Source organism: Homo sapiens, chromosome 13, assembly GCF_000001405.40.
Source record: "Homo sapiens chromosome 13, GRCh38.p14 Primary Assembly".
Lineage (NCBI taxonomy): Eukaryota > Metazoa > Chordata > Mammalia > Primates > Hominidae > Homo > Homo sapiens.
In genome coordinates, this window is record NC_000013.11 from 51839894 (window position 1) to 51866262 (window position 26369).

The following is a 26369-nucleotide window of genomic DNA, read 5'->3' on the forward strand; positions in this document are numbered from 1 at the left end:
TGTCCTTCTAGGACATGTCATGCTCAAAACTTGGCTTTATGTCAACAGGACCTTTATGGCAGGAAGCAGTGTGACCAGAGATAGTCAGTCCCCAACCAGAGGCATATCACCAGCGCCCTGCCAAGGTCTTCCACATGTTACCTAATTTAGTCTCCTCAGTTCGTATGCCCCATTTTACAGAGAAAACCAAGATTCAGATCAATTTGTTTGCTCAAAGTCACCCAGCTAGTAAGTGGTAGAACTGGGGTTTGAAATGAGGCCTCCGAGACTCTATCTGAAACCTGGACTTTGTGCCTTCAAAGCCCACAATCTCTCCACTTCACCCCAGAGCAATAAAGGGGAAGAAACCTGGAAAGGAGAGGCTTCCCAAAGTGAGTCAGGGATTAAGCAAGGAGGTCACGGTGCCTCCCTGGTCAGTCCTGTCATGCTTGATCCTATTTAACCAGGCAAAGATTCTTATCCCCATTTTACAGATGAAGAAACTGAGGGTCAGAAAAGTGAAGGACTTGCCCAAGATCACACAGCCAGATTGGAATCCAGGTGTCTTAAAATCTGCCAAACTTGAGGTGCCTACTCTCTGTTAACCAGAACGGACTTTGACAGTTTTGACTGCAGTGAGATGATGGGACACAGAGTGGCAGGGCTGAGCACCCAAGGTTTTCTGACCCCCCAATCCCTGGGAATCCCAAAGGCAGCGCTTTGGATTCCAGGGGTCCCTCTGCTGTTTCTGCCTCCTGACGCAGGCTCCCTGCCCACTGTTCTCCTGGAAGCAATTGTGGGGGATGCGCATGAGTCTGTCTCCCTGGCATGCAGTAGGTCTTCAGTAATGTTTAATGAATAATTCTATGAACTACTATTCAAATGTCTCTTCACAAGGCTCCATTTTCCCCCACAATGTTCTTGCAAAAACTGTGGCTGTGATGTCCTTATACACAGAAAATCAGGAACACCACAGCCCTGAGGAAACCACAGCCTCCTTCCACATCCTTTGACTCGGGATTCTACCGATCAAGGTGAAATGAGACCAGTTCTCTGGCCCAATGGGGTTTGCCAGGTGCACATCCGTTTGTTACATAACAAGTAGGCCCCAAGCCATGGACAAATGGCTACTGTATGAATTACAGATTTATTGTTGATGTCCACACTTCATGAGGTTGATTGCCACACGGGTGTCACAGAAGCTAAGCCACTTAAAACCCTGCCTGGAAAAACAACCCTCCTGGATCCAGTGATAAGCCCAGTTATCTAAAGGGGCCATGGCCCATCACGGCTCCTAAAGGCCCGGAAGGTCGGTTCCTTTCCTCACCCTTCTTAGGGAAAACAGAGGGTGCACTTCACATAACAGGGAGAGTGTGTACTTCACATCTTCCAGCCACGAACCACAGCATTTTTCTCCTGGATCACAGAAGGGATAGAACAGAGGGAGGAGACACAAGAGCCATCTCTTTACACTTGCCTGGTGGAGTCGCCACTGATTTACAAACTTCCTTTGAAATGTGTTGAACGGTTTCTATCAGCGCCTACAAACTAAGACATTCCAGTCTTCAAATCCACAGCAGCTTTGCAGAAACTAACGAGATGGGTCTGTGTCACATTATAACAAGACATTTCTACCTTGGGCCATTCCCTGGGGTAAGAGGTCACGCTTTAATCTCCTGTGAATCCTGAAGAACAATGTTTCACCACAAAAAGTAATAGAGCTGCATATACATTTTTTAATGCAAATGTCCTAAATTGGCTGATCCCTTTAGCCACTAACTGCAAATAAGGTAGAAACATCAATTTGAAAAACAGTGATATCTTTATTGATAATATCAGACCACAAGAGGTGGCAGCCAATAGAACACACCAACACAAGTCGCAGGTATTAGATCCATTTTATAAATGAGGAGACTCTTATTCTTTCAAGCTTGTTATTTTCATAAACTGGCAAGATGGATGAGAACTAAAAAAAGAATGATGTGCTGTGAATTCTGTCACGCCTTAAAGAATGTTCCCTAAGAGACAGGTAGCAGTGGCAGTAGAACTCAGCTTTGGCATCCAGCCCGAAAGGGAAGACAGAATTCCCAGGTACAGTCTCAAATGCTGGCCGACAAACTTTGCATATTGTGTTCAACTTCCCTTACAAGGAATAAAATGTTAAACACACACACACACACATCATATGACCTCGTGCATGTAATAATGTCTGTAGATCTACGTAAACACATAGAAAAAGATCAGCAGCATAAACACTAAACCACTGTGAATAACTGTTCCCTATGAAGGCAGGTACAGGGATATGGGGCCACTGGGGCTGGGGTAGGGGTAGGGAGGAATGTGCCGCAGGCAGGCGTGGGTAGTATTTTCATTTCCACTTTATACCCAAATATTGCCTTGCCTTTTCCCCCATTAGCAGGTTTTACCATTATAATTTTAAACTTCTTTTTAAAACCTCTTAAAATTCAAGAAGTATTATTTGAAATGAAAAGTAGTTTGCTTTCCAAAAGTCCAGAGATTTTTAAAAAGTAGCATGTAGGAGATAGATAAGCAGAAAAGGAGTAAGTCCACCAGGGAGCAGACACAAAAAGAAGAGAGATGATGTGATGGTGGTAGGCAAGATTTTTCTCTTTTGGAATACTTTCTTTAAAAATTACAAAAGCGAATTCACAGAAAAATTAGATCAAGGAGAAAAGAAAATCATTAGTCATTATAAACAACTGCAGAACTTCCAGCCCAACTGTTAGTATTTTGGAGCTTTTAAGTATATGCATATATACATATGCATATGTGCATGTACACACATTTTACATGGTTGCAATAATCAGGCACATTAAGTGAACACATCACATTTTGACATAAGCATTCTTTCTGTTACCATTTGGTCTTCAGAACTCTCATTTTCACAGCTGAATTATATTTCACAGAGTACGCTATATCAAACTATATTTCTCTATATCTTCTTGTTGGATATTTACTTTTCACTCAAGTAATCCTAAGAGACATTTCTCTCCATGAAAAGTGCTTTGTTTCATGCACACGTAGATCTCTTGGAATAGTTATGTAATTAAAAAGCATAAGCAACTTTTTGGATTTGAGGTAAAATTGACTTATAAATGAGCTGTATCCATTTCCAGTGCCACCAGCAATATGAGAGTGGCAGTTTCACCACACCTAACCAGCACTGGGTGGCTGAAAGACTAATGCATTTTTATTACTCTCATAGGCAAAAGTGGAAATTAATTATTTTAATTTACATTTTTGATTGCCAGTGATATTTTGCCAATTCTTTCTAGGCTTATTTCCCAGTTGTATGTTCCCCCTTGTGATTTGGTTTTTATGACCCAAGATATGGATTTATTTCAATTCAGAGGAAGCCCACAAAGAAAGCTGCAATTTGAGAAAATAGCAGTGAATCTGCTTTTTGATTCACAGAATTCACTGTGTGAATTTGCAGATTCAAATACACTACAAAAGACCTATTCACTATTATGGTGGGGACTTGAACAACTCACAAAAAACTGCACGTTCCTTGGAGCCCTTTGAAGCGGCAGCTCTTCCAAAAGAGGGTCCCTCAACAGCAAGAGATGCCCAATAGAGCAAATACATACTAATGATGGATTCATGTCAATGCAATCCATTAAATGATTGACTAAAATCTGTAATGACACAGATTTTAGTCAATTTCTATACCTTCTATATCTTCTACTAAGAAAACGTACATTTTTTCTTATTTGATAGAAAGTTTTCTTATTTGTTAGAAATCTGAAACAGGAAGAGATTGGGGTAACAGGCCGGGCAGTGCCTTCTCTCCAGTGTGAACAAACAGTGACTTACAAGTCTATCCTTGGGCATGCTGTGATAGGACTGTGTGTCTCACACCTGCCTCTGCACCTAGAAGGGCAGTGATAATAGCCCCTGCTGCTTCCTCTCCTAGCAGCTGAGTGATAATAAAGGGCACGATGGGAATTAATCAATAATAATTGCCAAATGATATGCTCAATGCATTTTCAATTTTCAGTCCAATTGATATATCTCAGTGGTTCTCAACCAGAGGTGATCTGATCCCCAAGGCACATTTGGCAATATGTGGAGACATTTTTAATAGTCATGGCTGGAGCAGGGCTGTCGATAAAGAGACCAGAGATACTGAAAAACATCCTCCAAGGAGCAGGGCAGTCCCCAACAACACTTATCTGCTCCAAAATGTCAATAGGACTAGGTCTGAGAAACTTTCTATGTCTGTCTAACATTCCCAGTTTTAGAGTTCAAATTTGTAAAATTCTACTTTTGTTAACCTCTGAGTTGTGTCATGAATCAACAGTAAACATATATATATGTATATATATGTGTGTATGTGTAGACACACACACATATATATATATGATTGTGTTTTTACTGATTGGCTTGGTAAATTAAACTATTTATTCCTAAATCAGCTGTGAGGACCAACTCACTCTTGGTTTTGAATAACATTGAATATTAGACATTAACCATCCCCATACCTGTTCCTTCAAAGCAGATGTTAACTAGTATTGTTGAATATTTTCAACAAACATTTCGGGTGCTCAGGACACAGTCCTTTCTTATCTGTAGCTCTCTGTGTAACCTGTGCTGTTTTCTCTCCTAACCATGCCCGAATGCATGAATTCAGTGGAGGTTATCGCATACCTACTGTGTCTCAGAGTCATTCCACAACCTCCCTAGGATGCCTTCATTGTTTGGCTCCTAGGAAATGAAAAATGCACTTCCTTTGAGCTCTACCACCCCTTTAAAATGACCAAGTCAAAGCCACTTGCTCACAGCCCCAATAGGTAAGACATGGAGGTGATGCCTGTGGTCCCCACTCGCTGTCCTGCAGCCGGTAGGTTGTTTCTAAGAGTCCCACACAACTTGCCTTCGCCCTGCAGTTAATTATTCCTTTACGATTGTTCTCTTCTCCAGAAAACCCATCTCCCTTAGACTCAGTGAAGATTGTTTTCGTTCCCTCCACACAATTAAGAAAAGCACTTCCACAATGTAGTCATTTTCTTTCCAGGAAGCATAATCAGCACATTGGCATCTTCCTAAGAATGATTTCAAGAAACCCTCTGCTAGGACTGTCTCTCCAACTTCACAGGCTGCCCAGGGTTGCCGGACTCACCTGAGCTAAGCAGAGTGGGATCCAGAATCGGGCAGCACTCAGCACCTCTGTGGTCCCGAAGTCCAGGGCTGCCTCTGTGGGGCTCCTCTTGACTTGGGGCTCCCACTCCCTGTCGCACGCTTTCTTTCTCCCTTTCTCTCCTGCAGCACAACAGCAACTCGTGGCTTTTCCTCTAAGGGGCGGGTTCTCTCCATTTCCCACTCCCACGTGTGGGGAGAGCAGCCCCACCGCCGGCTCATACCCCTGCAGTGTTCCCCAGGCCCGCAGGGGGGCAGCAGAGCGACCCTGGGAGCTGTGGAAACATGGCCGACCCCTTGGAGTTAGGAATTCCCGCGGGAAACATTTCATTTCAGTCCCTTAGGCACTAAACCTAGGGACTTAGTTCTGGTGCGAGCCCCTTCTCACCCCTTGCCCTCCCTGCATGTTGGTGGCACACGAGAAAGGGTGGACCGAACAGCGGCTGCTTAGGAAAGAGTGTGAAGGTACTCAAAGTGGGCTGAGGTAATGAGAGGTGCCCTATGGACTTCAGGACTGCCACGTAGAAAAGGGATTAAATTGATTCCGAGTCATTGCAGACGGCCAGATCTGAGATAGAATGAAGTTACAAGAAGGCTGAATTGTGCCCCATGTCATAAACTTTGTAACAGTGGCCTTCTTAGACCTGAAGCAGGCTGCTTTGTGAGGCTGTTGTGTGTCTGTATTGTAAGCAAGCACCTAGCAGTAGAAGTTCTCAGCTGCTGATTTATAAGAAGTGCCAGAGATTCTTTATTGAAATGCAGATTCCTGTACCACCTCCCAAAGATTCTCAATCTGTAGGTCTGGGCCTGGGCCCAGGAATCTGCAGTTTAGACTCTGCTAAGTCTCCTGTAGGTGCTCCATGGACCACACTTAGAGAAACTGGCGTCACATGACTTAAAGGCATTCTCCAACCCTGACATTCCAGGTTTTTTGTTGTCATTTCGGTGGAAAAGGCCAGTCTACTGGGGAGGGACTGGGGGAGGGACTGGTGTGAGGCAAGAGAAGAGCCTATTATGTAAAATGCAAGGAGCTGCTCCCTCTGAAGCTACCCCTGCATTGCACACCCCTGGGAGGAGGGCACCTCTCCGGGCTCACTCTAGGGCTGGCCCTGCCACTCTCCCAGTCCTGAATCCAAGGTGACCACTTCACACCACAGGACAGGGTGAAGCAGAGGAGCAAGGGGAGGAGAGCCTGCTAGAGGAAAGGACATACAGTCACAGTCATGAGCCACATAACAATGTTTCAGTCAATGATGGACCACACAGATGGTGGTTCCTTAAGATTATAATGGAACTAAAAAATTCCTATCACCTAGTGATGTCATAGCAGTCATAATGTTGTAGTGCAACACATTACTGATGTGTTTGTGGTGATGTTGGTGTAAACAAACCTACTGCACTGCCAATCACATAAAAGTAAAGTACATACAATTATGTACAGCACATGATACTTTACAGTAATAAAAAACAACGAAGTCACTGCTTTATGTATTTATACTATACTTTTTATCATTATTTTAGAGTGTACTCCTTTACTTATATATATTAAAAAAAGGTTAACTGTAAAAATGCCTCAGGCAGGTCTTTCAGGAGGTATCCAGAAGAAGGCATTGTTATCATAGGAGATGACAGCTCCTGCCTGTTATTGCCCCTGAAGAACTTCCAGTGGGACAAGATGTGGAGATGGAAGATAGTGATATTGATGATCCTGACCCTGTGTAGGCCTAGGCTAATGTAATGTATGTATAATGTATGGGCTAATGTATGAGTCAAAATTAAAAAAAATTATAAAGTAAAAAAGTTACAGTAAGCTAAGGTTACTTTATTATTAAAGAAAAATATTTTTAATAAATGTAGTGTAGCCTAAGTGTACAGTGTTTATGAAGGCTATAGTAGTGTGTAGTAATGTCTTAGGCTTTCACATTCACTAATCACTCACTCACTGACTCATCCAGAGCAACTTCCAGTCCTGCAAGCTCCATTCATGGTAAATGCCCTATACAGGTGCACCATTTTTTAATCCTTCATATCCTATTTTTACTGTACACAATGTTTAGATACACAAATACTATGTGTAGTATTTTCTACGTTTAGATACACAAATACTTACCACAGTGTTACAACTGCCTACATTATTCAATACAGTAACATGCCATGGTCTCTGGCCTTTTGGGAACAGTACTGGTCCCTAGCCTTTTAGGAACCGGGCCCCACAGCAGGAGATGAGTGGCAGGTGAGCAATCATTACCACCTGAGCTCCACTTCCTGTCAGATCAGCAACGGCATTTGATTCTCACAGGGGCACAAATCCTTCGTGAACTGTGCATGCCAGAAATCTAGGTTGCACACTCCTTATGAGAATCTAATGCCTGATGATCTGAGGTTGAACGGTTTCATGCCAAAACCTTCCCCATCCCCACCCTCATGAAACTGGTCTCCGGTGCCAAAAAGATTGGGGACCACTGGGTGTGTAGTAGGCTATACTATGTGAGTTTGTGTGAATACATTCTATGACCTTCACACAATGGCAAAATTGCCGAATGTCACATTTCTCAGAACATATACCCATGGTTCAGTGATACATGACGGTACTTGAATCTTCTCTTATCTCACACTGAGTGAGTGGAAGCAGAGTGACTGTGAGCAGTGAGGTCAGAGTCTTAAGGCTTCCCTGCCAAAGTGGTGGGGGTCTGGGAGCACACGGTGACCATAAGCCTGGCCTGGACGTGGCCAAAAAGGGGCAGCAGTCTTTTTTGAGCACATTTTAGCCCTGACATCAAAACAAACAAAATTTCAGGTGATGAGGCAGTCTTCCTGGGAGTTCAGGAAGGGAGAAAACAATGGCAGGTCACTCAGGAGCTTTTCCACATGTCCCCAAACATGCAGCAAAACATCAAAGAATATTTTTCTGCCAACAGACAACTGTACTTATGAGTACAGAAATAGGAGATTTTTGTGGGGGAGAAAGTAGGAGTCTTTGGAAAGTGATTATGAGACTCCAAAGGTAATGATAAATGATAGTAATAATAGCTCTATCAGTTAAGAAAAACGGGGAATCTGATATGGGGAATTAGTTACAAGAGCCACGGAAGAGCTGAAAAGTCATGCACGATGTCGTGGTGGAGTAACCCAGAGATTAGCAACTGACAGTGGAAGCAGTTGCTAACCCTAGAGATGTGAGTGGAAGACCACCACTGGAAATGCTGCCCAAAGCAAAGTAGGTGCGATTAATACCCCCACTTCACAGATGAGTAGCATAAGGTACAGAGATTAAAGGCATATGGCTACTAAGTGTGTAATGAACTTCAATTCAGGCCACGTGATAGAGTCCACATATGGCACCACTCCACTATTGCCATATGAATAAAGGGCACATTAGGGGAGATGATAGTAGAATTGAGTGAAAGTTGAATTCAGAGTATAAATTTTTAAATGCTTGTCTTTAGTTGAGGTGGTTCTCCTCATAAAAGTGAGTTCATTCATTCATTGAATGAATACTGCTGACTCCAAGCCAGATACTGTGAATAAAAAGATTACTTAATAAAATCCATGTATCCTATAAGGAATTTTGATGCAAAAGAGTAGTGAGTGAATGAGCACGTGCCTGAGTTTAATTACAAAGGCAACTGTGAGTTAATGAGGGTAGGCCTGACTTCTTGATGGAAGCTGTAGAAATGAAGGGAGATGCTAAAGTTGCCCAAAGACCAGGTTGTGCACCTCCAAAAGGAGCAATCAGAAAGCCAAGGGACACTGATGAGTGTTCACTCTCACTCTTCCCCAAGATTGCACAAAAGTTTGTCTTTGTCTTCGTCTTTGCTTGTGTGTTATTCCCCAACAAATTAGTTCTATGTAAACATCCTAATTCTTTTCATGCTTTCTTTGGAAGTTTTCCATTCTGATGTCACTCTTCTATTTGAGTCACCGTTTCTATATTTACCATCTATTCATCCTGACGGCTTCCTAATTTGGGAGAAAACCTTCAGGGTCCCTCACTTCGACTTCTACCTGAGTCAAAAAGCATTTCAATATAAGTTTTCATTTTCCTTTTGACTTTTCCCAGCATTTTAATTTTCCTGAGGACAATTTAAGAAAAAGAGAAACAGAATGCATGGTCCCACAACTAGTTCACAGTCAGGAAGAAGAAGAGTTAAATGACAGGCACCCCTGACCCATGCTGCAAACTTGAGGCCATTATGCTAAGAAATAAGCCAGCCACAGAAAGGCGAATGCTGTATGACTCCACTCACGTGAGGCACACAGAATAGTCATAGACATGGAAGTAGACTGGTGGTCACCAGGGGCTGGAGGAAGGGGAGCACGGGGAGCTGCTGTTTAAGGGATGTGGCATTTCAGTTTTGCAAGATGAAAAAGATTGGTTGCACAACAATGTGAATATTCTTAACACTACTGAGCTGTACATTTTTCAGTGGTTAAGATGTTGAGTTTTATGTTATGTGTATTTTAGCACAGTTTAATAAGCAAACAAACTCCTGGATCTGAGAAGCTGGGGGAGTCAAGGCCTAACATTCTAAGGGCCCTGTGGAACCGGGCAGTTGTCCAACATGCTCCAGAAAATCCCGGGGTCTCTTCAGCCCCAATTTCAGCGGTCGCAGAGGCCCTGTGGGAGGATGCGCGGACACGCCGCTGTCAGGTTTCCCGCCTCAACCCTTTTACTCAGGTCTGAAGTGGCGCCTTGGAGTGGGTGTGAGGAAAGGAATAACTCTCCTGTCTTCCTGTCCTTAACCTGGGCTCCAAGGCCGAGGGTCTAAGTTCCCAGGGGCAAGTGTCAGGGTTGGGAAAATGCACAACGCCACCTACTGGCGCCTCTTTGCCCTCCCTCCCCATCGCTTCCTGCCGTCTGTGGTCTCTCAGTGGGACCTGGGCTGTCTCTTTCAGAAACAGGATGGACACAGTGGCTCATGCCCGTGACCGAGCACTTTAGAAGGCCAAGACAGGAGGATTGCTTGACACCAGGAGTTCGAGACCAGCTCAGGCAATGTATTGAGACTAAAAAACAAAATAAAAAATTAGCTGGGTGTAGGGGTGTGTGCCTGTAGTCCCAGCTACTTGAAATGTTCCCCTGGGGAAAGAAAAACCCTTCTGTAATTTTGTTTGAGATTGCATTAAGTTTATACACAAATTTGGGGAGAACTGGCATTCTACTGCTATTATCAACTACAATTTTACGTTGTTTCTCTCTCCCCCTCTTTATTAGGTGTTAAGCCAAATCACCTATTAAGTAATGATGATTTCCTTATAATATTTATACTTGTTTTATTTCTTTGCCTAATAAATTGGTTATTATTTACAAAACGGTGAATGCTATCCACTTCTTTATTTTAATAATGTCTTCTGGGATATTTTTAAAGAATGTAAAAACTAGACAAGGGCCCTGCCCAGTCAGAATGGAGACACCAGTCAGCTGGTACACTTACATCAATGAGCAATTATGGGCACACAGTAAGCCCTGAGTCTTTTATCATCAAGTATAATGTTTGCTGATTTATAATAAATTTAAAATAATATTTTAATTCTTATTTTACCAATAATTTTTTCTCAGGTGGGGATAGGGGGTATGCATTGCTTCTGTGATATTGTTGCTACCGGTCCATTTCAATAAACAGAGCTATACCATATCTATTTTTAAAATCATGAGTACTTTTTGATATTTAAAATTTAAATCTAATACTATACTCTTTTGTGTAATTTATTTGATTTTTATCATTGTATCCCTTTTCTTTTATACTGAAAATTTTGAATCCTAACATTATTAACGTATTTATATGCTTTGTCATACAATAGAAAGAAATGTTTCAAAGTAACAGTACAGCACTTCTACAAAAATAAAATGACCAAGTTGAAGTTTCAAATTTATTTGAAGTTCTTCTCCTCTTTAGAATATATCCCGCTAAGGAGGGTGAGTCAAAGAAGTGTGCCCTAGGATCATGTGACATAATCCTTCCTCTGTAGGGGTATGGTATATATTTGATGTATGGTTATGTTCATGTGTTCATTTCCAATTTTAAGATTTGTTTAAAAGAAGAGGTACTACAGCACTTTGGGAGGCCAAGGCAGGCAGATCCCTTGGGCCTAGGAGTTTGAGACCAGCTGGGCAACACAGCAAGACCCTGTCTCTACAAAAAGTACAAAAATTAGCTGGGTGTGGTGGCGTGCACTGATAGTCCCAGCTACTTGGGGGACTGAGGTGGGAGGATCACTTGAGCCTGAGATGTGGAAGGTGCAGTGAGCCATGATCATGTCACTGCACTCCAACCTGAACTACAGAGTGACATCTTGCCTCCTCCGTAACCAAAAAAAAAGAAGAGGAAGAAGAGGAAGAAGAGGAAGAGGAGGAGGAGGAGGAGGAAGAAGAAGAACAAGAAGAAGAAGAAGAAGAAGACGCCCTACATTTGTAGTCATTTTTTTTTTTCACTTAATAATGTATCCTGGGAATCTCTCCAAATCAGCACGAAAAGACCTTTGTTTTACCTTTTTTTTTTTTTTTTTTTTGAGACGGAGTCTTGTTCTGTTACCCAGGCTAGAGTGCAGTGGCATGTCCTCGGCTCACCACAACCTCCACCTCCTGGGTTCAAGCAATTCTCCTGCCTCAGCCTCCTGAGTAACTGGGACTACAGGCGCACGCCACCATGTCCAACTAATTTTTGTATTTTTAGTAAAGACAGGGTTTCACTATGTTGGCCAGGCTGCTCTCAAACTCCTGACCTTGTGATCTGCCTGCCTCAGCATCCCAAAGTGCTGGGATTACAGGCGTGAGCCACCGCGCCCAGCCTGTTATATATTTTTTTACAGCTGCATAGTACTTTGCTCTGTGGATGTGCCAGTTTATGTAAGTGGTTCCCTATTGCTACAAAATTGAGTTACTTCCAATCTTTTGGAATTACAAACAATACTCCGATGAATAACCTACACAAGTATCTTTCTGTAATTGTGTACATGTACCTGCTGGATAAATTTCTAGACATGGAATTGCTGGGTGAAAAGGCAAATTCACGTGTAATTTTCTTAGTTTCTGACAAATCCCCATACATGGGGGTTATAACAGTTTGTATTCCTACCAGCACTGTATAGCAGGGCCTATTTCCTTCCAACTCTGCTAACAGAGTGTATTGTCAAACTTTTGGATTTTTGCCAGTTTGATCGATGAGAAATGCAACAGTTTTCTTAATCAATTGCATTTCTCTAATTATAAGTATGGTTGAAAATTTTTTTCATATATTTAAGAGCCATTTGCATTTGTCTGCAACCAATTTGTTCATATCCTTTGGCCATTTATCTATTGGGTTGGTGGTCTTTGTCTGCTCAATTTCAGAAGCTCTTTATAAAACGGGCACTGTGGATATAGCAGTGAACATGACAAAGTCTCCTCTTTCACAAAGCCTGCTTCCAGGGCATGATTCCTTTATGGCTGGTGTGGCTAGAAACAGTTCTCTTCTTTCAATACAGAGACTGAGGCCATGAGCAGTGATGATTATGTTGTCATTGTCTTCATCTTTGAGCAATTTTCCAGTTTGATCTACTTTTCCAGGAAAATACAGTTGACCCGCGGCCGGGCGCGGTGGCTCAAGCCTGTAATCCCAGGACTTTGGGAGGCCAAGGCGGGCAGATCATGAGGTCAAGAGATCGAGACCATCCTGGCCAACATGGTGTAACCCCGTCTCTACTAAAAATACAAAAAATTAGCCGGGCGTGGTGGCGGGCTTCTGTAATCCCAGCTACTTGGGAGGCTGAGGCAGGAGAATTGCTTGAACCCAGGAGGTGAAGGATGCAGTGAGCCAAGATCGCGCCATTGCACCACTCCAGTCTGGGTAAAAAGAGCAAAACTCCGTCAAAAAAAAAAAAAAAAATACAGTTGACCCTTGAACAATGAGTGCTTAGGAGCACTGAACCTGTGCATAGTCAGAATTCCATGTGTAACTTTCAACTCCCCAAAAACTTAGCTACTAATAGCCTAATGTTGACCAGAAACAATAGCATAGTCAATTAGCATATGTTTTGTATGTTATATGTATTATATATACTGTGTTCTTACGATAAAGTAAGCTGGAGAAAAGAAAATGTTAAGAAAATCCCAGGCCAGGCGTGGTGGCTCATACCTGTAATCCCAGCACTTTGGGAGACTGAGGCAGGCAGATCACCTGAGGTCAGGAGTTTGAGACCAGCCTGGCTAACATATAGTGAAACCCCATCTCTACTAAAAAATACAAAAGTTAGCTGGGCTTCGTGGCGCATGCCAGTAGTCCCAGCTACTTGGGAAGCTGAGGCAGAAGAATCGCTTGAACCTGGGAGGCAGAGGTTGCAGTGAGCTGAGATCATGCCACTGCACTCCAGCCTGGGCAACATAGCGAGACTCCATCTCTCAAAAAAAAAAAGAAAGAAGAAAGAAAATATATTTACTATTCATTAAGTGTAAATGGATCATCATAAAGGTCTGCATCCTCATCGTCTTCACATTGAGTAGGTTGAGAAGGAAGAGGAAGAGGAGGTGTTGGTCTTCTTGTCTCAGGGGTGACAGAGGCCAAAGAAAATTCATGTATAAGTGGACCTCACTGTTCACACCTGTGTTGTTCAAGGGCCAACCATAATATATCCCTAATGGAATAAATTAATTTTCCAACATAGGGGAATGTACACTCTGGCAGTAATTAAAAATTGTGTTCTCAAAAATGTTTAAAGAAATTGGGAAGTGTAAATGATATATGAAAAAGCAAGCCACAAAACAGCATACACAGAATAAAACCAATTGCATAGAATATATGTAGTCATAAGGATAGGAAATATATTAGAAGAATATACCCCAAAATGTTCATACTGGTTACCTTTGAGTATTGGGATATGGTTGATTTTCATTTTCTTCTTCATCTTTGCTCTATTTTCTGATTTCTTTTTACAATGAACATGCATTACCTTGAAAATTGGCAAGAATGGTAAACTATTTTTAAAATAATAGCATTGAAAAGATTAAGTTAAATTTGTGTCACTCATGAGGCACTGATTTTAAAATATTTAAGTTAAACTGTCTATCTTGAGTGAACAGAAAATATTGATTTTGTACAAAGTGTGTGGCAGGGGGAGAAAGTATATCCTTTTCAATCCCGTGAGCTCGCTGATGTTAAGTGATTTATTTTCTGTACTCCATTCACACTTAGCAATAATAATCTTATTGCTATTTCCTCCAGAGGCTATTATAAGGCTTACCCGAAATAGCAAACACTTTATGAACTGTGAATCACTGAGGATCCCAAAGTTTCATGTAAGAATACTTCCCCAACCCATCTAAATCAACTCCAGCTCAATTTCACATTTCTATCAGTGCACGATCACTTTCCAGGTATTGAGACTGGGTACTTGAAACCTTTCCTTCACTTCCTTCATCTTCATGCCATGCAACCATTTGATCACCTTTTGCATCTTTCTTCAAAATATTTATTGTAGCAATCTGTTCTTCTCTGACTCCCCAGCTATGATGCTCATTGTGACCCAGGCTATTTGATGCCTATGTTATTATAGTAACCTTCTACTTTAGAGAGGTATGGTCTCTGAGCAAAACTGCCTTGGTTCAAATCTAGGCTCTACTTCTGTGTAGCTTTAGGCAAGTTTCTGAAATTCTCTATGCACTTCCTTCTTCATATGTGAAATGGAAATGGTATTAATACCTAATTTATTAATTTATTCTTAAGATTAAATGGGCTATATATGCAAAAGTACTTAGGACAGTGACCGAGGGCATAGGAAATCAACAAATGTTAGTTATTTTAATTATTATTATTGATTTATTTACTGCTGCTTTGGGCCTTTTGGTCAGGTCAACATTCTAAAGTTCTATTATGTCACTCTTTTGGTTATAATCCCCATATGAGTACTGCACTAGGTAAAGGCTGACTAGGTTGTTTGGGCAAAATATCGTATTTGGAACAACATGAGGAACTGGACATCTCAGAGATACCTAGGCAGGGAGAAAAATTTTGAGACCAAGACCTGAACAAGCAATAAAGACAGTGGAGGTGAAGATTCTTTTCCCTCAAATTATTTGTTGATTTCAAATTGAAAGCAGTGAATGAAAGGCTGAGAAGTCTGAACAGAGATTTCAGCAATGTAAAGAGGTCTAAGGGATAAAATTGCACCCAAGGATCTATCAGCAAGGAGAGGCTCTGAAAAACATCACAAGCTTTTGTTTGAAGAAAGGGTCAACTAAAGAAGCATATCTCACAAGAAGTGAAGCCCAGTTTAGAATTATCTCAATTCCCAACTGGATTAAAATAATTGACTTCTAGCCTCTCTGCCTACCAGAAGCAAAAATAAATACCTCTGGAAGAAGTTAACATGCTGAAGAGCCTCAGAATATTAGCACTCTATCAAAATAACAAGCCGTATAAGAAAATAAGTTTTGACAGAAAACCAAGAGGGAAAAAAAGACAAGAGAAACATATCCACAGATGAACTGGATCTTGAATAATAATAAGACACAGACTTTAAAATAACTACAATTAATAAATGGAATTAAAAATCAAGATGGATAAATTTGGTACCAGAAAAACTGAGAACCAAATGAATATCCTAGATTGGAATAAAATTTAATAAATAAAATTAAAGACTGAATAGAAACAGTAGATTAGACACCGCTGAAGAAAGAATAGTGAAATGGACTATAGGACAGTAGAAAATATACAGACTAAAGCAGAGAGACAATGGAGAATTAGAAAAGAGCATAAAAATGTTAATATAAGGAACCCAGTGAAAATGTTTAACATATATGTTATTGGAATTCTGTTAAGTGAAAAAGAGAAGAAAATAAGACGACATATTTAAAGAAATATGTCCAAGAATGTCCTAAAAGTGATGAAGGTTAGTAAGATACAGAGATATAATCACCTGATGGGTTCTTCCTGCCCCTGCACAGAAAAATCAATTCACTGAGACCACAGCATTGCAGTAAATAGTTTAATTGACAAGAGGTCAGCTATATGTGAGATGGAGTTATTACTCAAATCACTCTTCTTGAGCTCAGAGGTTAGAGTTTTTATAGATGATTTGGTGGGCAGGGGACTTCTGATTGGCTGGGGATGAAATCATAGGAGTGTTGAAAATGATTCACATGCACTGAGTCCACATTTGGGTGGGGCCACAGGACTGGCTGAGTTATAAATCATGGATTCAGGCAGGATCAGTTGATTGCCAGGAAGTCTGAAAAAAAATCTCAAAAGACCAATCTAGGTTCTACAGTAGTGATGTTATCTACAGGAGCAACTGGAAAGTCATAAATCCTGTGGCCTCAGGCCACATGACTCCTGAGCATTAAGGGATTATAGAAACCATACCTACATTTTATCAGAACTCAGGCCCCTCCCATAATCCTAATCTTGTGGCCTTTCATTAGTCTTACAAAGGGTGGTTTCAGTTCCCCAACAGGGAAGGGATTTGTTTTAGGGAGGGATTATTATCATCCTTGCTTCAAAGTTAAACTATAAATTCCTCCCAAAGTTACCCAGGCTTACACCCAGGAATGACCAAGAACATCCTGGAGGTCAGAAGCAAGATGGAGTCAACTATGTCAGATTTCTCTTACCGTCATCATTTTGCAAAGGTAATTTCAATCATACAAGAAATACTTCAAATCCCAAGCATGAAAATACAAAGTAAAGCACATCTGGTCACATCAAAATAAAGCTGCCAAAGACCAAAGGCAAAGTCTTAAATTAACATCGGGTAGAATTTTAAAAAGCATACTTCCTTCAAAAAGCAACAATTAGATTGATGCTGACTTCTCAACAGAAACAACAGAAACCAGACTAACTGAAAGAAAATAACAACTAACCTATAATTCTCTAACCAGTAGAAATACACTTCAATAATGAAGGCAAATGGGATTATAAAGGATAATACGTCTGAATAAGAAAACAAAGGCACTTCTATTTGGATTTCAGTGTTGTGTAGTACCTAATTATGTTTTCTTCCTTTCTATTAAAAACTTAGAGCCAATACTATGATAATACAAATTCATCAGAGACAAATGTTGATTTTGTTATCAATTGTTTACAGAGATTAAAATTCATTTCTTATCTATGTTTTGAAATCACATTACTATGAAATTCTCTATAATGTAAAGAACAGGAAAATGAAAGTGGCATTTGTTTACACAGCAGTGGAAACACACTAAGCAAACCATTCTACCGATAACACCTGTTAGCTGGCATTAAAAAAAAAAAAGGTAAAAGTATTTTCAACAAATAAACAGTGAGAGATTTCATCACAAGACCCATACTAAAGAATATGATTTTTTGAGTACCTGAAAAATTATCCCAAACAGAAGCACAGAGATGCAGGAAGAAATGAAGAGCATGAAAAAAGGTAAAAATATGGGTAATTACAAATGTATGTTGACTAGCAAAATCTTGAGGAGTCTTGAATATACGCAGAATTAAAATTTATGACAACAAAATGAAAAAGGTAGAAGGGGTATAAGTGGAGTTAAAATCATCTAAGATTCTAGCATTATCAGAGAAACAGTAAAGATAAAAATCCATTAGACTTTAACAACTCAAGGATGCCTATTATAATCTCCAGGATAATTGCTAAAAGAATATATAGCTAATGACATAATAGAGGAAAATGGAATAATAAAATTATTTAATTAATCCAAAAGAAAAAAGGAAAAGTAACATTTAACAGGTAGGAGTAGAAAAAACATGGTAAGAAAATAGATTCAAATCTAATATAAATCAGTAATTATATTAAGTGTAAATATTTTTAAAAACCAAATAAATGACAAATTGTATTACAGTAGAAAAAACAAAACTCAACTATATGTTCATCATAGGAAATACACTTTAAATATAAGGGCACAGAAAGGTTGAAATAAAAGGATAGAAAAGATACACCATGCAAACACTAATAAAAGCTGACGTGCCTATACTAAGATCAAAGTAGAACTTAAGGCAAGAAGTATTACTAAAGATAAAACGGTGGCATTTTATAAAAATCAAAGTGTCAATATGCCAAGAAAATATAACAATTGTAAAATATGCATGTATCTAATAATATAGCCTCAAAGTATATAAAACAAAAACTGACCTAACTGGAAGAAATAGATCTGCAAGTACATCTCTCTCAGTAACTGACAGAACAAGCAGCCAGAAAAATCTATAAGGATATAGAAGATTTGAACAACATAGGTAAAGACTCAACCTAATTCAGACATAGAGAGAGAGAACACTGCATCAAGCAACTGAAGAATACCAATTATTTTCAAGTGGACATGGAACATTTACCACAATTGAATGTATACAGGGCCATAAAGCAAGTCTTAGCAAATTGAAATGATTGAAATCAGAGTATACAAACCATATACTTTGTGCAAACCATAATGAAATTGAGCTGGAAATCAGTAACAAAAAGATAATTGGAAAATCCCCATATATTTGGAAGTTAAGCAATGTACTTGTAAATAGCCAATAGATCCAAGAAGAAATTCCAGTGGATATCAGAAAATATTTTAACTGAATGGTAATTAAAAGGTGACATATCAAAACATGTGAGACGCAGGTAAGTGTACTTAGATGAAAATGTTGTAGGACTTTCTCCTTAGCTCAGCTAAAAACCGGGTTCTTTGGGTTCTTGTCACATAACCAGGAAAAGATTAGGCTTGTGGACACACAGAAGGGTAAGAAAAACGAAATTTATTGGGTGTAAAAGGAAAAAAACTCAGCAAAGCGAAAGGGGTTCCTGTTAACAGGCCCCCATCTCACAGACTGAATCCTAGGTTGCCACCCAGAAACATGAGAGGCCAAGCTCCTTCCCCCCTGCAAACAGTGAGAACTTCTCGAGGTCCCGCCCCATCCACCCGGTGGCAGGTCGGAGGTTCTCCCGGGAGCCCTTTTTACTTGGCTGTTTCGGAAACTGATGGTCTTAAGCACACATATTAAAAAAGAAGAACGGTTAAAAACCAATGATTGAGACTTCCAGAATGACTGAGTAAGGGTTAGGATGGATTCTTTCCATCCTCAAAGAATTTTTACTATTTGACCTGTTTGGCAGTTCACTGAAAAGCTTCCTTCACAGAATTTGTCTTTATTTGACTTGACTCAGAGCTTACTCTGTGCAAATAACCCTATCCTCAGGGCATTTGTAAAAAAAAAAAAAATGGTAATTGTTTAATATCATAGCTGCCTGATTTGGCATTACTAGCTGGGGTTAACCATAGGCTTGACCAATAACTGAAAAAGAAAAACTGGAGAATAAGACGGAGACTTTGAAAAGTTTTGATATAGTCCTGAGAATTTGGGTCACATGCATGTGACTGTGCACATGGCTGAGAAAGACCTGAGAAGGCCATAATCTCTCACCTCAGGCTGACTTTGAGGCTCTCACAAGAAGGAAGCGAAGGCTAGGCAGAATCATAAACTGCCTGCATGATCACTAAAGGTATGCCCAACCTGCACCCCCGACTCCCAACCAAACACACACACACACACACACACACACACACACACACACACACAGACACCCCCTCAGCAAAGGAAAGGAGACATCAGTTCATGGAGATCTCTGTCCAGTCATTAGCTGATCGTTAAGCTAATAAGCAGACTTTAATGCCCACACATGATAAAAAATATAGACTTCATAGAATTTGTCCAAGAAAGTCACTAAATGAACAAATAGCAACAGCAACAACAATAAATGCCACCAACAAAACTTGGGAGTGGAAATCTCATTTTTAGTTACTATATTATTTTAAGTGTCCAACTTCAACAAAATTTTTTGAGGCATAAAGAAACAGGAAACCCTTTATTGCAAACAGAGTTATATATAAAGGGGGAAAAGCAGACAGTAGAAACTGTTATTCTATTTTTTTTTTTGTTTTGAGACAGGGTCTCACTCTGTCACCCAGGCTGGAGTGCAGTGGCACGATCATAGCTCACTGCAGCTCGACCTCCTGCACTGAAATGATCCTTCCTTCCTCAGCCTTCCAAGCAGCTGGGACTACAGGCATGCACCACCACAACTGACTAATTTATTTTAGTTTTGTAGAGACAGGGTCTTGTTATGTTGCTCTGGCTGGTCTCAAACTCCTACCAGGAGGACGCTCAAACCATCCTCCCTCCTCGGCCTCCCAAAGTGCTAGGATTACAGGCATGAGCCACCATGCCTGGCCTGAAACTGTTATTCTCTGAGTAATTGTCTTTTTGGTTATAAACTGTCTCTGAGGAATTGCAGATATTGGGCGATTAAACCAAGATTTTTAGTCAGCTATTACAAATGTAGTTAAAGAACTAAAAGAAACCATTCCAAAAGAATTAAAGGAAAACAAGGCCAGGTGTGATGGCTCACACCTATAATCCCAACAGTTTGGGAAGCCGAATGGGTAGATCACTTGAGCCTAGAAGTTTGAGGCCAGCCTGGGCAACATGGAGAAACCTTATCTCTAAAAAAACACAAAAAATTAGCTAGGTCTGGTGGCGCACGCCTGTAGTCCCAGCTACTTGAGAGGCTGAGGTGGGATGATCACTTGAGTCCAGGAAATTGAGGCTGCAGTTAGCCAAGATCATACCATGCCATTGCACTCCAGCCTGAGTGACAGAAACATGTCTCAAAAAAAAAAAAAAAAAGCATTAAAGGAAAGAATTAAAAACTATGCCTTACCAAAAAGAGACAGAAAAGTATGTGTGCATACATATATATATGTGTGTGTGTATATATATATATACACACACACACACTTTGTATACATATACTTTTATATAGATATATAGAAAAAATATATATATAGAAGTGTGTGTGTGTGTGTGTGTGTATATATATGTATATAGAAAAGCACATATATCCTTTTCTATATATAACCAAACAAATTCTGGAGACACAGTGAAAATTTCTGGAGAAATTCTGGATGGACTAGGGGTCCACTGACAGATGAATGGATAAAGAAATTGCAGCATGTATATAAAGTGGAATATTATTCAGTCATAAACAGAGAATCCTGCCGTTTGTCACAAGATAGATGAAACTGGAGAATATTATGCTAAGTGAAATAAGCCAGACACAGAAAGAAAAATGCTGCACAACTTCACTTATATGTAGAATATTAAAAAAATTAAAAAGAAGAAGTAAGAAAAAAGTCAAATACACAGACAAAGAATAAAATGGCAGCTGCTACGTGTGGGGAGTGGACGGGAAGAGGGAAATCAAAGGGTACAAAGTTGCAGATATATAGGATAAATAATTTAGAGATCTAAGGTACAACATGAGGACTGTAGTTAATAACACTGTATTAAAGATTTTTGCTAAGAGAGTAGATTGTGGGTGCTCTTGCTACAGTGCACAAAAAAGGGTAACTATATGAGATGATGGATATGTTAATTTACTTGACTATTTAAAAATTTTACTACATGACAAAAATTCTGGAGTTGAAAATGAAAAATTAAAGAGGGATTCAACAGCATATTTGAACTGACAGAAGAAAAAAATCCATGAACTTGTAAACAGGTTAATTGAGATTATCTAATCTAAGCAACAGAAAGAAAAAAGAATGAAGAAAAATGAACGTAACTTTAGAGACCTGGGGGACACACTCACGCTACTAGTATTCACATAATATGAGCCCTAGAAGGAGAGGAGACAGAGAAAATGGATGAAAGAATATTTGAAGAAATAATGGCCAAAAACTTCTGAAATTTGATGAAAAACGGCATCAAATCTGCATATCCAAGAAGCTCAACAATCTCCAAGTAGAATAAACCTCAAGACCAAGACACATCATAGTCAAACTATCAAAAGCCAAAGACGAAGAATCTGGAAAGCAGCAAGAGAAGTGATTCATCCCACACAAAGCCCCCACCAGAACATGACTTCCTAGAACCATGCTCCCGGAACCAATGCTGACAGAATCTAAGGTAACAATCACTTGTGAGTCATCAACAGCACTGCCCTATCAGTGAAGTCAAAGATTGAAGAGGAACTCTTTCAAACCTTTCAAGTGCCCCCTCCTTTCCTTAAAGTCTTTTATAGGGGTCCCCTTCTTGGCCATCTCCATCCTGTGAGTCAGGACTGAAAGGGCACAGACAGGTCACTGCCAGCATTGTTGGGGCAAGCCTGCAAGCACGCATCACTGGGGATCTGACATGACAATGGCCGCCTGCCCCCTCTGAGGGCTACAGGACTTACCCCAGTGGGAAGCAGCTAAGCAGTAAGTAACTGTTGGCTTTAGACTGTATAGTATTTGTTCTAAGCATAAGGTAATATATAATATTTTCCTTAAAAAGAAGCTCCTAGTCTTACAGTATAACTGAAAACTGGGCATGTATCTTTAGTGCATGTTTTTACAGCTATACAGATACACATCTACAGTTTTATATTGTACTTTATATTTTAATACACATCTACCTATTTGATATGGTTCTTATTTTCTTTCTTTCTTAAAGAAAGTTTAGTGTTCACTTGAGAAAAACTTGGAGGTGAATGTTTTCCAACATCCTAACCCAGTAGACGCCCATTCATCCAGCTACTATTTCCTGAACACCTATCCTGTGGCAGAACATTTCGCTGGATGCCAGACATAGAGATGGAAGATGAGGTGTTTCTAGTGGGACAGGAAGGGCACATGCTCAGTCTGAGCTTAGGAGAGATGGCCTGGAGGAGGTATCTGAGTGCTGAAGGATTCGCTAGGTGAACTGAAGTGAGGTTGGGCAAGGATATCCAGGGAGAGGGGGCCAGCATGACATGGAAGTGAGGGAGGACTTCACATATTGGAGGGATTCTAGGCAAAGAGCCATACAACATAGAAAATCAAATTTCCAAAATGCAGTTCAATTCAGTTCAATTCAACCAACATTTTCACCAATTCCCTCCTATATAGGCGGCGTTATATTATGATAGCTGCTGGGTTACAGAGATGTCAGGAAGACATGTCCACACCTAATTTCAATCAAGTGTGACAAGTAATAGTGGAGTAACAGACAGACAGTATCGCAGAGGTGGCGAGGAACTTTGTCTGGAGGGTCCGAGTAGCTTTCAGAGGGGAAAGGATGTACAGGAATTCAAGCCCACCACAGGAACAAAAGGGGCTCTCAGTAGAGGATGCGACATGTGCTTCACCACACAGGCAGGAAACTGCAGGCAGAGTGCCAAGAGCTGAATAGAGCCCGTTAATACTGGGCCTTAGATTTGGAGTTGGGTGCAGGCTGGGTAGGAAGGAGAGGGAGAAGCAAGCTGGAGTTGGGCTGCACAAGGCCTTCCTAGGGCGTTCAGCTTTGATCTTTGGGCTACAGGGTCTTTGAAGGTGTGTGAACTGATGTGATAGGACGAGAGAGTGTTCTAGAAAACACCTGTAGGGCTACAGTGCAGGGGCAGATGAGAGGGTAAGATCAATACAGAGAGCAGCGAGACTGTTACAGGCATCCTGGCCTGACCTGGCTGTCATGGGGGAGATGGAACAGGGGCATGGTTTCAGGAAATGTTAAGGATCTGGATCTCGGCTAGGAGGGCTTGATGGTTGAGGAGAGAAGTCTGGTGAGGGAGAGGGAAAGGTCAAGGATGTGCCCCTGGTTCTGGTTTGTGTGACTGGATGGATGGTGATGCCACCAGCTGTCCACAGCCTAGCCACTGTGTCTTCATATGCACGCGCACACAGACACACACACACACACACACACACACACACACACACACCAGCTATGTGTCTTTTCTCCTCCTCCACTCCCTGTTCCTAAACCAGAAATGGAAAAATACAGAGAAAGCCCTGAAAATTTCCCCAATAGGTCTCACGGATGATGGGTTGGTGAGATCCACTGAGTGAGGGCCGGACCCTGGCAGCTTCCTCCAGAAAGCACAAAATGGAAAACAATGCTGTCAGCATGTGCCTGCACTCCTTATCTGACAACACTGAGCTCTTTACTGCACTCTAACCACCTTCCTATGTCCAGCACTTTTTCTCATCCCTTGATTCATGTTTGTAGTTACAGGGATTGCTATGGATAATTCTGCTATCTGATTCCTCAGATATATGGCAATGTTTGAAGATCTTTCTCCTTCCCTCCCTCCCTTCCTTCCCTCCCTTCCTTCCTTCCCTCCCTCTCTTTTTCTTTTCTTTTTTTCTTTTCCTTCTTTCTTCCTCCCAGCTTTTATTTTATTGTGAAATATACTGTATTGACTGGGGTACATAAAATATCCATGTACCACTTAACACATTTTTATAACAACACACATGAAACCGCCACCAAGCAAAGAAAGAGTCCTGCTAGCACTGCAGAAGCCTCTCTCAAGTACTCACCTAATCACACCCCTTAGTCTCACCTCCTCATCCCACACTCCAAATCCTCCCACACCAGCAACTATTACTCTGACTTTGGGACTCACTTCCTTGCTTTTCTCTTTCTGTGTTGAAGTATGTTCCCCTAGACAATGGCATTTAGTCTTGCTTGTTTGGAACTTCATTCTTTGAAATTCCCTGATCCTGCTTCTCTCTTTCAGCATTGGGTTTATAAGATTTACCCATGCTGTTGTAGGCAGCCATGCTGTCTGCCATGTGGATATACTGCCATTTTTTATTCCACTCTATTGGGATGGTCATTGGATTGTTTCCAGAGTTGAGCTCTTATGAACAAAGCTCCTTGAACACACTTGTACATGTATCCTAGTCACAGTTCCTAAGTTTCCTCAGGGTTTATACCTGGGACTGGAGCTGCGGGTCATCTGGTGTCTTTCTTATTGTTCCATATTACTAAATATTGTGTGAGGGCCTTCTTGGTCCATGTCCCTGGAAACATTCACCATCGTCTCTCACCTTTTTGTTTTAAACCACTTTTCCCAAAATAAACTCCTCTCCTAAAATACACTCTCCTCCTCCCCTCTGAGGTCAGTGGGCCTGTCTTCTGTGTCCCAGGCTCGTAACAGAGGACATTCACACGTGAGCATGCCCATAGGCAGATAGGAACAATTCTCAAGTGAGTACACCAAAACCTAAATTCATTCGGATTGATTTAACAAACGTAAATTCTTCTTGGCCTCATCATGTCACACCTATGTGTTCTGATACCCTAGTTGACAGCCACTGTCCTTCTTGGCTGAGTGTCTACGTTTTTAGCAGCCTTGAGCTTGAATGTACTGACTGCCTCTCCAGCTCAAAGCCATGACCACCCCACATGTTTTTCTACCAAAGCTTGTCCCTCACAAACACCACCATGTGGACAAAGAGCAGTGATTACATTTTCTCAAATTCAGTAGTACAGAACCAAGGGCCGTCCCCTGGCATGTGATACTCATAGATCTGTCTTTTCTGCTGCCCCCACAGGGTCTGACCAGCCGACCTGGACCTGGCCAAGGGTCCTGTCATCCCTCATGGCCACCCCGCCATTCCGGCTGATAAGGAAGATGTTTTCCTTCAAGGTGAGCAGATGGATGGGGCTTGCCTGCTTCCGGTCCCTGGCGGCATCCTCTCCCAGTATTCGCCAGAAGAAACTAATGCACAAGCTGCAGGAGGAAAAGGCTTTTCGCGAAGAGATGAAAATTTTTCGTGAAAAAATAGAGGACTTCAGGGAAGAGATGTGGACTTTCCGAGGCAAGATCCATGCTTTCCGGGGCCAGATCCTGGGTTTTTGGGAAGAGGAGAGACCTTTCTGGGAAGAGGAGAAAACCTTCTGGAAAGAGGAAAAATCCTTCTGGGAAATGGAAAAGTCTTTCAGGGAGGAAGAGAAAACTTTCTGGAAAAAGTACCGCACTTTCTGGAAGGAGGATAAGGCCTTCTGGAAAGAGGACAATGCCTTATGGGAAAGAGACCGGAACCTTCTTCAGGAGGACAAGGCCCTGTGGGAGGAAGAAAAGGCCCTGTGGGTAGAGGAAAGAGCCCTCCTTGAGGGGGAGAAAGCCCTGTGGGAAGATAAAACGTCCCTCTGGGAGGAAGAGAATGCCCTCTGGGAGGAAGAGAGGGCCTTCTGGATGGAGAACAATGGCCACATTGCCGGAGAGCAGATGCTCGAAGATGGGCCCCACAACGCCAACAGAGGGCAGCGCTTGCTGGCCTTCTCCCGAGGCAGGGCGTAGCCAGCATGCAGGTGCAGGGCCCTGTGGTCCAGACTCCCCTGGGTTGGGATTCAAGTCCAGGGTGAGCCCATGTGCTGGAGAAAATACACACTCATTGGTCTCCTTGCTTTGAAAGATCCAATAAAGTCCTGAGGCAAGGTTTGGAAAACCAACTTATTTGAGGAAGGCTGGCTGCATTTTTT

At 41.3% G+C, this 26369-nt stretch overlaps 2 protein-coding genes across 9 annotated transcripts in view, besides 2 other annotated features; one reads left to right on the forward strand and one right to left on the reverse strand.

The window, feature by feature from the left end:
• The window catches only part of TMEM272 (transmembrane protein 272), a 121020-nt gene that overhangs the window by 26547 nt on the left and 68104 nt on the right, over window positions 1-26369 (reverse strand). For 3 of the 7 annotated variants that reach the window (NM_001351006.2, NM_001351005.2, NM_001351003.2), the window contains exon 1: window positions 5123-5284. The exons of 3 other annotated variants lie outside the window; for them this stretch is intronic. Coding sequence is in view for 1 of the 4 variants with exons in the window: in XM_047430281.1 (XP_047286237.1) it covers window positions 13977-14061 (85 nt within the window). In the remaining 3 variants the exon portion in view is untranslated. Of the gene's footprint in view, window positions 1-5122; window positions 5285-13976; window positions 14065-22119; window positions 22396-26369 lie in introns of those variants that run through there. One more of the 7 variants, XM_047430281.1, reaches the window with a different exon arrangement.
• Window positions 9285-9785: an enhancer, noted in NCBI's record as "H3K4me1 hESC enhancer chr13:52423314-52423814 (GRCh37/hg19 assembly coordinates)". NCBI's record gives its function as "activates a minimal SCP1, AML or CMV promoter by ChIP-STARR-seq in naive H9 embryonic stem cells {active_cell/tissue: H9 hESC(naive)}" and the evidence as "EXISTENCE:reporter gene assay evidence [ECO:0000049][PMID:30033119]".
• Window positions 21678-22877: an enhancer, noted in NCBI's record as "P300/CBP strongly-dependent group 1 enhancer chr13:52435707-52436906 (GRCh37/hg19 assembly coordinates)". NCBI's record gives its function as "activates an origin of replication core promoter dependent on BRD2, BRD4, P300/CBP, MED14 and CDK7 cofactors, with strong dependence on P300/CBP, by STARR-seq in HCT116 cells {active_cell/tissue: HCT116}" and the evidence as "EXISTENCE:reporter gene assay evidence [ECO:0000049][PMID:35650434]".
• CCDC70 (coiled-coil domain containing 70) lies at window positions 22076-26339 on the forward strand. Of its 2 annotated transcripts, NM_001346075.2 has the most exons (3): window positions 22076-22336; window positions 25003-25091; window positions 25439-26339. In NM_001346075.2, exon 3 carries the CDS (start codon window positions 25519-25521, stop codon window positions 26185-26187), a length of 669 nt encoding a protein of 222 aa, NP_001333004.2. In that variant the 5' UTR covers window positions 22076-22336; window positions 25003-25091; window positions 25439-25518; the 3' UTR covers window positions 26188-26339. The 2 variants fall into 2 exon arrangements, with proteins under 2 accessions (NP_001333004.2, NP_112580.3); NM_031290.4 differs by lacking the exon at window positions 25003-25091.